At 37.8% G+C, this 14,418-nt stretch overlaps 1 annotated feature.

The window, feature by feature from the left end:
• Positions 12,451–13,650: an enhancer, noted in NCBI's record as "CDK7 strongly-dependent group 2 enhancer chr2:6232422-6233621 (GRCh37/hg19 assembly coordinates)". NCBI's record gives its function as "activates an origin of replication core promoter dependent on BRD2, BRD4, P300/CBP, MED14 and CDK7 cofactors, with strong dependence on CDK7, by STARR-seq in HCT116 cells {active_cell/tissue: HCT116}" and the evidence as "EXISTENCE:reporter gene assay evidence [ECO:0000049][PMID:35650434]".

Below are 14,418 nucleotides of genomic sequence, written 5' to 3'. Positions count from 1 at the left end.
AGTTCTCTGTAATTGATTTCATACATTGAATATTTTCTCAACTCTATAGTTTTAAAATAAATTACAACACAATATACAAATTTTCAGCACTACAGAAAAAGTATAAAAGAGAAAAAGAAATATTACACGTCTCATTGTTAATATTATGAGATCATTCTTTTGTTTTTTGTTTTGTTTTGTTTTGTTTTGTTTTTTGAGACATAGCCTTGCTCTGTTTCCCAGGCTGGAGTGCAATGGCACGATCTTGGCTCACTGCAACCTCTGCCTCCTGGGTTCAAGCAATTCTCCCACCTCAGCTGCCTGAGTAGCTGGGATTACAGGCAACCACCATCATGCCTAGCTAATTTTTGTATTTTTGTAGATACAGGGTTTCACCATGTTGGCCAGTGAACTCCTGACTTTAGGTGATCCCCCTTGGCCTCCCAAAGTGCTGGGATTACAGGTATGAGCCACCGCACCCGGCCGAGACCAGTCTTTAAACACTGTTCCTTGCAGTGGTAACAGAGTCGTATTACTTCAGGGCCCAATAAGGTGAAGTAAATATGGAAGTAGCTGGGTGCAAGTCAAGCAGCGACAAAGTGGCTGTGAAGAAGCAGAAATGGTAGACCTTGACTAAATGCATTGGGATTTAAGTTAGAAAAACATCAGTCCCAGCTATTCTGGAGGCTGAGACAGGAGAATCGTTTGAACCTGGAAGGCGAGGTTGCAGTGAGCCAAGATCATGTCACTGCACTCCAGCCTGGGCAAAAGAGCAAGACTCTGTCTCAAAAAACAAAGCAAAACATCCAGAGCATTGTGTGGGACAAACAATTACCATCTGTAGATAAATTTGGTCCAGTAGGTGAGTTTACAAGTCTTGCCCATGCCTGTTCGTTCATCAAGCTATGAGATTAGATAAGCAAACAGACAGTAGATAAACTGACATACAGAATAAAACAATTTTATGAAAATGGGATCATGCTGTATTATTTTAATGAAAATTACTGAAATTAACTTCCAATGTAAGAGAAATTTTTTAAAAAAACTAAAAACACTCTGACTTTTACATTTTCTAAACATTTGTTTTCCCCCAAAAGACTTTACATTTAATAAATTTGATTAATTAAAACAATCAAAGGAAAAAAACATATTAAGATGGCAGATGGGAGTCGGGACTAGCTTGCAGCTCTTACTGGGATGGACAGAGCAGCATGTGGAGACCCACCATGAACTTTTGCTGCAAGAACTACTGCAGGAATATACTAGGAAAGTTGAGAGAATCCACATACCCTTTGAGGGAACTGGATCGCTGCTGCAGGCTCCCTGAGACACTGAAAAACTGCAAGTCTGCTTGCTTTCTCAATGCAGTGGCTCATAGTCTGGGGCAAGTTCTCAGCCCTGGCCACCAGCTTCCTGCAAATACACTCAATGCTGTTGGGGTGGCACAGTGGGAGTGAGACTGACCTTTAAGAATGCAGGCTGCATGGGAGTGGGGTGAGGCCTGTGACTGCTGGCTTTCCTCTACTTCCCTGGCAACATTTATGACTCAGCAGAGGCAGCCATAATCCCCCGGGAACATAATTCCACTGGACTGGGAACGACATCGCCATCCCCCCACAGCAGCCACAGCAAGCCCCACACAAGGAGAGACTGAGCTCAGACACCCTATTTCTGCCCCCACCTGGTGGTCTTTCTCTGCCTGCCCTGGTAGCCAAAGACAAAGATCATAATCTCCTGGGATCTCTACGGCCCTGCCCACTCCTGGGAAACCTGAATACTTGCCCTAGGGCAAGTCTGCATCTTCCCTATAGGACAGCACCTGATGTACTCTTGAAAGCGCCACCTCCTGGCTGGAGGCCAACCAACACAAAGGCAGTGTACTAAACAAACAAATACATAACCAATAACCCTCAGAGAGTCCACTTCACTCCCCTGCTACCTCCACCAGAGCAGGTGCTGATATCCACGGCTACAAGACCTGAAGATGGATCACATCACAGGACACTTTGCAGACACTCCACAGTACAAGCCTGGATCCCAGTAGCTCAGCTGGGTGGCTAGACCCAGAGGAGCGAAAGCAATCACTACAGTTTGGCTCTCAGGAAGCCCCATTCCTAAGGGAAAGGGGAGAACACCACACCAAGGGAGCACCCTGTGGGACAAAAGAACCTGAGCAGCAGCCCTTGAGTCCCAGATCTTTCCTCTGACATACTCTACCCAAATGAGAAAGAACCAGAAAAACAATTCTGGTAATACGATAAAACAAGGTCCTTTAACACCACCAAAATATCATACCAGCTCACTAACAATAGATCCAAATGCAGAAAAAATCTCTGAATTGCCAGAAAAAGAATTCAGAAGGTTGATTATTAAGCTAATCAAGGTGGAACCAGAGAAAGAGGAAGTCCAACTTAAAAAAATAAAAAAAAAAAAATGATACAGGATATGAAAGAAAAATTCTTCAGTGGAATAGATAGCATAAATAAAAAGTAATCACATGTTAGATACTAGTTCTAAATTTCGTTTCAAAAAATCAATACGTCAGTATGTTCAATTATTTGCCTTCTACTTTTAAACTGAACTTCCTCATAAAGCAAACTTTTTTGATTACCTGCTGCACACTGACTCATTCTGATTACCTACTCCACCCTAACTCATTCCTATTACCCACTCCACCAAGACTCCTTCCAATTATCTGCTCTGTCATAACCATTTTTCCCGCCAAACCACTCACCCCATCACTCTCTTTAAATTAGCCAAACAAAATTAGTTTAGCCTGTGCAGTCTAACCCTAGCCAATAAAAACACAACAGAGCAACAGAGGCCACGTTCATCAGGGATAAGAACCCCTTCCCCTCCCTTGTCCAAGTGTGTGCTCACCATTGCTCTATCTATAAGGGCACACTGTTCTGTAAAATTACCTTGCCTTGCTAAAAATTAAAATATATATATATTCTAGTACTATTTCTTTTGTGGCACCAAAATTTATTTATAACATCACAACTTCTAGAAATCAAGGATACACTTAAGAGAAATGCAAAACACACTGGAAAGTGTCAGCAATAGAATCAAACAAGCAGAAGAAACAACTTCAGAGCTGGATGACAAAGCTTTTGAATTAACCCAATCCATCAAAGATATAATAAAATAATTTAAGAAATGAACAAAGCCTCCAAGAAGTTTGGGACTATGTTAAATATCCAAATCTAAGAATAATTGGCGTTCCTGAGGGAGAAGAGAAATCGAAAAGTTTGCAAAACATATTTGAGGGAATAATCAAGGAAAACTTTCCTGGCCTTGCTAGAGATCTAGACATGCAAATACAAGAAGCTCAAAGAACATATGGGGAATTCATCACAAAAAGTCATCATCTAGGCACATAGTCATCAGGTTAGCTAACGTCAAGATGAAGGAAAGAATCTTAAGAGCTGTGAGGCAAAAGCATCAGGTATAAAGGAAAACCTATCAGATTAACAGCAGATTTCTCAGCAGAAACCCTACAAGCTAGAAGGGTTAGGGGTCTTAGTTTTAGCCTCCTTAAACAAAACAATTATCATCAACCAAGAATTTTGTATCCAGTAAAACTAGCTTCACAAATGAAAAAAAGATACAGTCTTTTCCAGATTAACAAAAATGGTGAGAGAATTCACCACTACCAAACCAGCACTACAAGAACTGCTAAAAGGGGCTCTAAATCTTGAAACAAATCCTCGAAATACACCAAAATAAACCTCCTTAAAACATAAATCTCACAGGACATATATAACAATAACACAATAAAAAAAATCAAGGTATTTAGGCAACAAATAGGATGATGAATAGAATAGTACCTCACATCTCAATACTAACATTGTATGTAAATGCCCTAAGTGCTCCATTCAAAAGATACAGAATGGCAGAAGGGATAAGAAATTACTAACCAAGTTTCTGCTGTTTTGGGGAGACTAACACATAAGGATTCACATACACTTAAGATAAAGGAGTGGAAAAAGATATTCCATGCAAATGGACACCAAAATTAAGCAGGAATAGCTAGTCTTGCATCAGACAAAGCAAACTTTAAAGTAACAGCAGTTTAAAAAGACAAACAGCAACATTATATAATGAAAAAAGGACTATTCCAACATGACAATATCACAATTCTAAATATATATGCACCTAACACTGGAGATCCCAAATTTATAAAACAACTACTACTTTCTTAGTTCTATAAGAAATGAGATAGACAGTAACACAGTAATAGTGGGGGACTGCCATTGACAGTACCTGACAGGTCATAAAGACAGAAAGTCAACAAAGAAACAGTGGGCTTAAACTATACCCTATAACAAATGGACTTAACAGATATTTATATAACATTCTACCCAACAACTGCAGAATATTCATTGTATTCATCCACATACAGAACATTCTCCAAGATAGACCATATAATAGGCCACAAAACAAGTCTCAGTAAATTTAAGAAAATCAAAATTATAACAACCACTCTCTCAGACCACAGTGGAATAAAATTGTAAATCAACTCCAAAAGGAACCCTCAAAACCATGCAAATACATGGAAATTAAAAAACCTGCTCCTGAATGATCATTGCATCAACAATGAAATCAAGATGGAAATTTAAAAAATTATTTGAACTGAAAAATAACAGCGTTACAACCTATTAAAACCTCCGAGATATGGCAAAAGCTGTGCTAAGAAGAAAGTTAATAGCATTTCTACACCAAAAATTCTGAAAGAGCACAAATAGAATCTAAGGTCACACCTCACGGAACTGGAAAAACAAGACAATCCAAATCCAAACCCAGCAGAAGAAAATAAATAATGAAGATCAGAGCAGAATTACATGAAACAGAAGCAAACAAAAAAAAATACAAAAGATGAATGAAACAAAAAGCTGGTTTTTTGAAACGATGGATATAATTGATAGACCATTAGCAAGATTAACCAAGAAAACAAGAGGGAAGATCCAAATAAGCTCAATTAGAAATGATATGAGAGATATTACAGCTGATATCACAGAAATACAAACAATTCTTCAAGGCTACTATGAACTTTTTTTTTTTTTTAAATGAGACAGAGTCTCGCTCTATCGCCCAGGCTAGAGTGCAGTGGCGCGATCTCGGCTCACTGCAACCACCGCCTCACAGGTTCATGTCATCCTCCTGCCTCAGCTTCCCGAGTAGCTGGGACTACATGTGCCCACCACCATGCCCAGCTAATTTTTTGTATTTTTAGTAGAGATGGGGTTTCACCGTGTTAGCCAGGATGGTCTGCTATGAACACTTTTATGCACATAAACTAGAAAGCCTAGAGGAGATAGATAAATTCCTGGAAACTAGAAAGCCTAGAGGAGATAGATAAATTCCTGGAAATATACAATTCTCCTAGATTAAGCCAGGAAGATATAGATCTCTGAATATACCAATAACAAGCAATGAGATTGAAATGGTAATAAAAAAATTGCCAAAACAAAACAAAGTCCAGGACCAGGCGGATTCATAGCTAAACTCTATTAGACATTCAAAGAAGAATTGGTACCAATCCTATTAACACTATTCCAAAAGATAGAGAAAGAGGGCCTTCTCTCTAAATTATGTCATGAAGTCTGTATTACCCTAATACCAAAACTAGGGAAGGACATAACATAAAAAGAAAAGTGCAGACCAATATCCCTGGTGAACATAGACTGAAAAAATCCTCAACAAAATATTAATATTAGAGAACTGAAATCAACAGAATATCAAAAAGGCAATCAACTGGCCGGGTGTGGTGGCTGACGCCTGTAATCCCAGCACTTTGGGAGGCCGAGGTGGGCAGATCATGAAGTCAGGAGATCAAGACCTTCCTGGCCAACATGGTGAAACCCCGTCTGTACTAAAAATACAATAAAATTGGCTGGGTGTGGTGGCACTCACCTGTAGTCCCAGTTACTCAGGAGGCTGAGGCAGAAGAATCTCTTGAACCCAGGAGGTGGAGGTTGCAGTGAGCTGAGATCGTGTCACTGCACTGCAGCCTGGTGACAGAGCAAGACTCTGTCTCAAAAAAAAAAAAAAGGTACTCAACCATGAACCATGATCACGTGGGTTTCATAGCAGGGATGCAGGAATGGTTTAATATATATAAGTCAATAAATGTGATACACCACATAAACACAGAATTAAAAACAAAAATCACATGAGCATCTCAATAGATGCAGAAAAAGCATTTGACAGAATCCAGCATCGCTTTATGATTAAAACCCTCAGCAAAATTGACATAGAAGGGACATACCTTAAGGTAATAAAACCCATCTACAACAAACCCAGAGCCAACATTATACTGAATGAGGAAAACCTGAAAGTATTCCCTCTGAGAACTGGAACAAGACAAGGATGCTCATTTTCACCACTTCCGTTCAACACAGTACTGGAAGTCCTAGCCAGAAGAATCAAACAAGAGAAAGAAATAAAGGGCATCCGAATCAAACTGTCACTGTCTGCTGATGATATGATCGTCTACCAAGAAAACCCTAAAGACTCATCCAAAAAGCACCTGGAACTGATAAATGAATTCAGCAAAGTTTCAGGACACAAAATTAGTGTACACAAATCAGTAGCTCTGCTATACACCAACAGCAACCAAGTTGAGAATCAAATCAAGAATGCAACCCCTTTTACAATAGCTGCAAAAAAATATAAAATACTTAGGAACATACCTAACCAAGGATGTGAAAGTCCTCTAAAAGGAAAACTGCTAAATACTGCTGAAATAAATCACAGATGACACAAACAAATGGAAACACATCCCATTCTCATGGAGGGGTAGAATCAATATTGTGAAAATGACCACACTGCAAAAAGTAATCTACAAATTCAATGCAATTTCCATCAAAATATCACCATCATTATTCAAAAAAAAACTGGAAAAAAAAATCCTAAAATTCATACAGAATCAAAAAAGAGCCCACAAAGCCAAAGCAAGACTAGGCAAAAAGAACAAATCTGGAGGCATCACACTACCTGACTTCAAACTCTACTATAAGGCCATGGTCACCAAAAAAGCATGGTACTGATACAAATATAGGCACATAGACCCATGGAACAGAATACAGAACCCAGAAATAAAGCCAAGTACTTACAGTCAACTGATCTTTGACAAAGCAAACAAAAACATAAAGTGGGGAAATGACACCCTATTCAACAAATGGTGCTGGGATAATTGGGAAGGCCCATGTAGAAGAATGAACTTGGATCCTCATCTCTCACTTATACAAAAATTAACTCAAGGCGGATCAAGGACTTAAATCTGAGACATAGAACCATAAAGGCTCTAGACGATAACATCAGGAAAACCCTTCTAGACATTGGCTTAGGCAAAAACTTAATGACCAAGAACCCAAAAGCAAATGCAACAAAATCAAAGATAAATAGATGGGACTTAATTAAACTAAAAAGCTTCTTCGCAGCAAAAGAAATAATCAGCAGTGTTAACAGACAACCCACAGAGTGGGAGAAAATCTTCACAATCTACACATCTGACAAAGGAGTAATATTCAGAATCTACAAAGAATTCAAACAAATCAGCAAGGAAAAAGCAAACAATCCATCAAAAAGTGGGCTAAGGACATGAATAGACAATTCTCAAAAGAAGATATACAAATGGCCAGAAAGCATATGGAAAAATGCTCAACATCACTAATTATCAGAGAAATGCAAGTCAAAATCACAATGGGATACCACCTCAGTATTGCAAGAATGGCCATAATCAAAAATGAAAAAAAAAATAGATGTTGGCATGGAAGTAGTGAAAAGGGAACACATATGCATTGTTGGTGGGAATGTTAACTAGAACAACCACTATAGAAAACAGTGTGGAGATTCCTTAAAGAACTGAAAGTAGATCACTGTTTGATCCAGCAATCCCGCTACAGATACTTGGTATCTACCCAGATAAAAAATAAATCATTATATAAAAAAGATACATGTATGTTTATAGCAGCACAATTTGCAATTGCCAAACTATGGAACCAGCTCCAATGCCCACCCATCAGTGAGTTGTTGAAGAGCACGTGGTATATATACACATACAATGGAATAGCATTTAGCCATGAAAAGGAACAAAATAATGGTGTTTGCAGCAACCTGGATGGAATTGGAGACTATTATTCTAAGTGAAGTAACTCAGGAATGGAAAACTAAACATCGTATGTTCTCACTCATATGTGGGAGCTAAGCTATGAGGATGCAAAAGCATAGGAATAATACATTGGATTTTGGGGACTTAAGGGAAAGGGCTGGGGGTGGCAGGAATAAAAGACTACACATTGGATACAGTGTACACTGCTCGGCTGATGGGTGCACCATAGTCTCAGAAATTACCACTAAAGAACTTATTCATGTAACCAAGCACCAACTGTTCCCCAAAAACCTATTGAAATAAAAAAAATTAAAAATTAAAAATACTCTGAATGATAGAGAAATAAAACAAATAAATAAAACAATAAAACAATCAGAAGTTGCCACTATTATATTTCAATTTAAATCTTTGTTTCAATTCTACACGGTATTAGTTTATCATATAATATTGTAAATGAAAGAAATTACCCTCTTGCATTCCTCCCTTCCCACTTCCTGATTCTAAAAATTATATTTAGTTTGTATTTTATTAAATTTACATTTAGTCTTATAGCCAGAATTGTTCACATTTTTAAATATAGCTCACATTTTTAAATTTAATTGATTCATAATCACTGATTTTTTTCCAAAATGTCTTTTTTTCATTTTTTTTTTTGTTGATTCCTTGTTTGGTTGGGTTTCATCTTCATCAAGGCCAAACAGTTCTCGTCCATATGCTGCCATTATACCTGACTGGCATCTTAGGTGCATATGAGAGCACTGGGTCCCTTTCTTGCCCTTGGGATTTCATTAGAAGTGCCCCACTGTCTGCTGCACTAAGAACAACACACGTTCTTTTTACCATTGCATCTCTGCTTATCTTTTTAGGGGTTAGTTATTTATTAAATATATACATATATATGTATATACTTTAAAAGAACATATGGAGTTTTCATTCCTTAGGTATATTCATGTTTGAGGATATCTTCTTGTTTCCTTTTCACAATAAAAAATTTCCAACTGGGCATGAAATTATCTTGGCTCACTTTTTCTTTCCCTAAAAAATTAGTAGAAATAAATCAGTTGGCAGATTTCTGGCAGTGACTGTTGCTGCTGAACAGTATGAGATAAGACTAATTTCACCACTTTTAGGAAGCTTGATTTTTCTGCTTGGTTTACTAAAAAAAATTTATTCTTTCCCTTCCTTCCTTCTTTCCTCCCCTGCAAGCTCCTTTCCTTTCTTTCTTATTTTCTACTTTCTGGACTTGTTCTATTCTGCACAGAATTAGATTTTAGATTAATCATTTTGTTTCATGAAAAACACATGAACCCAAATAGGGACCAGAATCATTTATTTAGCAAATTATTTATTTAGTATATTTTAATATGTATGCACAAACATGCCATAAGAAGTAAAAGCCAGAGCCTTGAACATAACCTACATTTCACCGTCTAGTTTCTCCATCTCATTCCCATGACAACCCCATGGGAGACAACACACATTACCCCCGCCATGTTCATCATTCCTTTGTGTGCTTTCTTATCTAGGTTTATTATGCCAATATTTTTGTATACATTATCTTAGTTGTTTTAAACTTTACAAAAAAAAGTGTTTCTACAATCTTTTTGGATTTACTTTATTTACTTATATTTATATTTCTAAATTTCATCCACATCATTGTTATTTACCATTATTAACCACATCACTGTTATTAAACCATTTTGCTGTAACAGTTATTATAGCTCATTCTTCTATTTTCTTTGAATACACTTCAAGATTGTTGGCAGATTTTTACATTTTACAGAGTCCTGATGTGAAAATTCATGTGCCGATTTTTAAAAAATTATCTAAAAGAATGAGTATATAATTATTTTTCATTGTTTTCTTGGCTTACATTTTCTTGACCACTAAGCACTTTGATATCTTTCTATATGTTTATTTCCTATTTGTGTTTTGTGTTCTGTAAAATACTTGTTTATATCTGCCCATTGTTCTGTTGAATGTTGTGCTTTTCTTATTGCTTTGAAGTAATCTTTCTAAAATTGTTTAATTTTTTATCATCAGTTGCAAATATTAAAAATGTTTTTTTCCACTTTGAAATTTGTCTTTTTACTTTTTAGATCCTGTGGCTCTAGTAAAACTTTTTTGAAGGAATTTGCATCTTGATTATGTTGTTTTATTAGCAGCTGAATTTAGCAAGGTGTAGCTGAAAACAGACAAATTAAAGAAAGAACCAGTTTATAAGCAGAAATAAAAGAGAATATGGAAATCAAGGCCTTGTAGTTTGGAAAATCCAATTATTTCTACCCCCATCCCCCAGTATTGTATTGCTCAAGGTTCTACACAGAAACACAACAAAATCTCCCTTGCTGTACTGTCACTCTCTTTCTTTGTCTCTCTCTCTCTTGCTTTCTATCTACATATATGTATATACATATATAATGTATTTTGTACATTATAAACATATTTGTATACACGTATAATGTATTTTATATATGAAAGATAAACCCTTAAGGAAGATAAAACTCTTAATGAAAATGGCCTTAATGAAGATGAAACCCAAGCTAACAAGGATTCAACAAAAGAAGATATTTTGGGAAAAAATTCAGTGATTATGAATCAATTTAAATATTTATGTATAAGTGTATATATACACACACATACACACACATATTTATATACATATATACACACAAAAATATATCTTAACTTTTCATCTCATATTGAACTCAAAGTTTCATGTAGGTGCAGGATTGCTATAAGAAAGGCATATCTATACATTATAATCTTAGTCAAGAAAAAGAAAAGTCATTGCATGACAACTTAAAGCAAAAGGAAGATGCAGAAATTAATGCCAGCAAAGGATAGTTTGATAAAGTTAGAAAGAGATTTGGCTTAAAAATTTTCATGATAACAAGAGAATCAGCCTCTTCCAACCAAGAGGCAGAAGGCAAGTTCCCAGACTCCACTAAGAAAATCATTGAGGAGAAAGGACATCTGCTTGAACAGGTTTTCAATGTAGGCAAAAGGACTTATTTCAGGGGAAAAAATTAAAAAAAAACAATTATTAATAAGGAAAAGAAATGAGCACCAGGACTTAAGTCAGGAAGTCTACTGCTTTTGAAAATGTCCTTATCTATAACTCCTGATCCTTGAAGGGGAAAGATAAACATCAGGTGCCAGTCCTTTGGTTGTACAACAAGAAGGCTTGGTCAACAAGAAACTTATTTCTAGATCGGTTCTTTCAACAATTTGTCCCTGAAATCAGAAAGTAAATACCTTGCCAGTAAGGTACTTTAAAGATTGTTTGATATGGGACAATGCCCCCAGTTACCCAGAACCCCTTAAGTTCAACCCTGGTGGTGTCAAAGTGGCCTATTTGCCTCTAAACACAATGTCTCTAATTCAACCTTTAGATCAGGGTGTCATAAGGACCTTTAAGGCTCATGAAACACGGTATTCTGTGGAAAGGATTGCCAACGCTATGGAGGAGAACCCCAATAGAAACAACTAGTCATAAAAGTCTGAAAAGATTACACCACTGAAGAGGCCATTTTTGTTACTTAGAAAGCCATGAAAACTATCAAGCCTGAAACAACACATTCCTGCTGGAGAAAAGTGTGTGTGGATGCTGCACATGACTTCACAGGATTTACCACAGAGCCAATCAAGGATATCATGAATGAGATTGTAGATGTGGTGAACAAGGTAAAGGGTGAAGGGTTTCAAGGTATGGATCTTGGAAAAACCCAAGAGCTAAAAGCCACCACAGCAGAGAAACTAACACAAGATGACTTGATGAATATGAGTGCTTCCAAACCAGTGCCAGACAGTGAGGGAGAGGCTGTAGGGGAAGCAGTGCAGAAAATAAATTGACACTGGGCAATATGGCAGAGGGTTCAGACTATTCAAGACAGCTTTTGGCTTTGGCTTCTTTTACAACATGGACCCTTCTATGTTATTGGGAATGAAACTAAAGCAAACAGTGGAAGGATTGGTACCATATAAAAACATTTTGAGAGAAATGAAAAGGTAATAAATTTAGACGGAAATTACGATGCATTTCTGTAAAGTTACATCGAGTGTGCCTGCCTCCCCTGCCCCCCCTTTCACCTCCTCCATCTCTTCCACCTCTGCCACCCCTGAGAGAGCAAGACCAACCTCTTTCTTCTCCTCTTCAGCCTACTCAACATAACGATGATGAGGATGAAGACCTTTATGATGATCTATTTCCACTTACTAAGTAGTAAATACATTTCTCTTCCTAATGATTTTCTTAATACCACATTTTTTCTAGCCTACTTTATGTAAGAATACAGCATATAATATGTATAACACAAAATATTTCTCAGTGGACTATTTATATTATTGGTAAGGCTTCCTATCAACAGTAGCCTAACAGTAGTCAAGGTTTTAGGGACTCAAAAGCTATAAGTGGGTTTTCAACTTTGGGGAAGGTGGGATTGGTGCCCCTAATTTTTGAGTTGTCCAAGGGTCAAATTTAACTCATGTCTTTGTTAAAGATCAGACAAGAGACCAGAGGCAAGAGGATCAGGCATGGGGGCAAGCAAATGGACACATAAGACTGAGCAGGACGTAGAAAGAGTTCTGCATTTTACATCAATACCCACAAGAACAGGCACTGAAGAACGAAGTCAACACAATGCCGCATGCAGTAGATACCAGCTAGCCTTCATCATCTTGTACCTAAAAACCAGCACAAGAGCAGTGACTGTGACTGGGGTAGCAACCTGAGGCCACAAAAGAGCTAGACAGCACAGAGTCCACAGTGGAGACTGGGAACGGGCCAGCAGGGAGCCTGGGTCCCTGAGTGCCTGCACTGACCACACCGAACTAAGATGCTATAATGGGAGCTAGGGATGCATGACAATTTGTTAAATCACTGAGATTGAGAGGTCAGTTTGTCATAGCACCCATTGTTACTTACCTGAAAAACAAGGAATATTGCTGAACTCTTCTGCACGTGACTTGATACAGCACAAATATTCGTGACTCCTCGTCAGCAGAAAAATGTCACAACTCTGGAGCCTTTGCTCTGGACCAAGAACTTGACATATTCCAGTGCGACACATGATTGCTTTTGTGTTACTTCTTTCACAAGATATTAATTAGCCCCTGAGGAAGAAGCCATAAAGTGGCTTATAGCTTAATGTAGTAGCACTTTGACTCTTCATGTTGACCAGAGCACTGATTAATTTTTTAATTAGTCTTACGACTTCCTTATTGAAATATATGTTACCGAATAGTAAGTAGTGACTACCAGCAAGCTTCTGTTTCTTAGAGGGAGGGTTACCAGGCCTACAAGTTAAGACAAAGCTGCTGAGCTTGCCACACAAAGCCTTCAGGACTGGCTTCACTGAATCACTCCAGCCTCATCTCTGGATAGACTGCTTTCATTTCACTCTTAGACAATGATAGCATGGGAAGTTTTTAAACCGTATAACCTTGCTTTTGCATTACCATGTCACTGCCTAGTTGGCGTCTTCTGCCTGGAATCACTTTCTTCCCACTGGGAGCCCCTTGAAGATTGCCTTTTTGTTGCCCCAAACAGCTCAGGATTCATCTCTGCCGTGAGTCCTCTGAAGTTTATGTATAGTTTGTGTTGCATTAAACCCACTGAAATGTAATTAAGTTGTGTACAAGTCTATTTGCCCAGAGTCAGGATGGAGGAGTTTGATAACTCTGCCTTTTTACAGCCCTCTGTTCCCAGCATGCAGCTCTGACCTCAGGAAAAGCAGGAGTACATAGGGGACAAAGGCAGTTGGGGAACTGGGACTTTGGACTGTGAGGTTAATTTGAGTTATCCTACAACACCTTGAAAGTCTTTGTGGACATGGCTATCATGGAGGGGGTTGACGATATGAAAGTAGGAGGAACAAATGGAGTTTTCTGAAGAAAAGCTGTGAGCATAATTTTGTGACATGAACTTTAAAGATGGAATTGAGAGAAGGAGGCGAGTCCCAATGTACACTTTTTAAACCCTGCTTTAGTTCTTTAGTGACTTATCGGCAGGAGTATTAACTTTTGCATTTCTATAAAAAATTAGCAGATATCTGGGGTTTGGAATTAATGAAATCCAGGTGAGAAGCAGATGTGAATTTGTCCTCGTCACTTACTGTGTGATGGTCAATACAGATGTTCAAATGGCCGCTCTGTGAGCCTCAGTTGCCTCTGCCAAATGAGGAAATACTGTTGTCAATCTCACAGCGCTCTTCTGCAAATAATGAGTGTTAAGAAGTGATAGATGTAAACACTGGCCTGTAATAGCTGTGTAATACAATAAGAGCTCAATGTTGTGGATAAGTTTTTCAAAACTGCGACTT

Source organism: Homo sapiens, chromosome 2 (assembly GCF_000001405.40).
Source record: "Homo sapiens chromosome 2, GRCh38.p14 Primary Assembly".
Taxonomy (NCBI): domain Eukaryota; kingdom Metazoa; phylum Chordata; class Mammalia; order Primates; family Hominidae; genus Homo; species Homo sapiens.
This window is presented reverse-complemented; position numbering and strand designations above follow the sequence as displayed.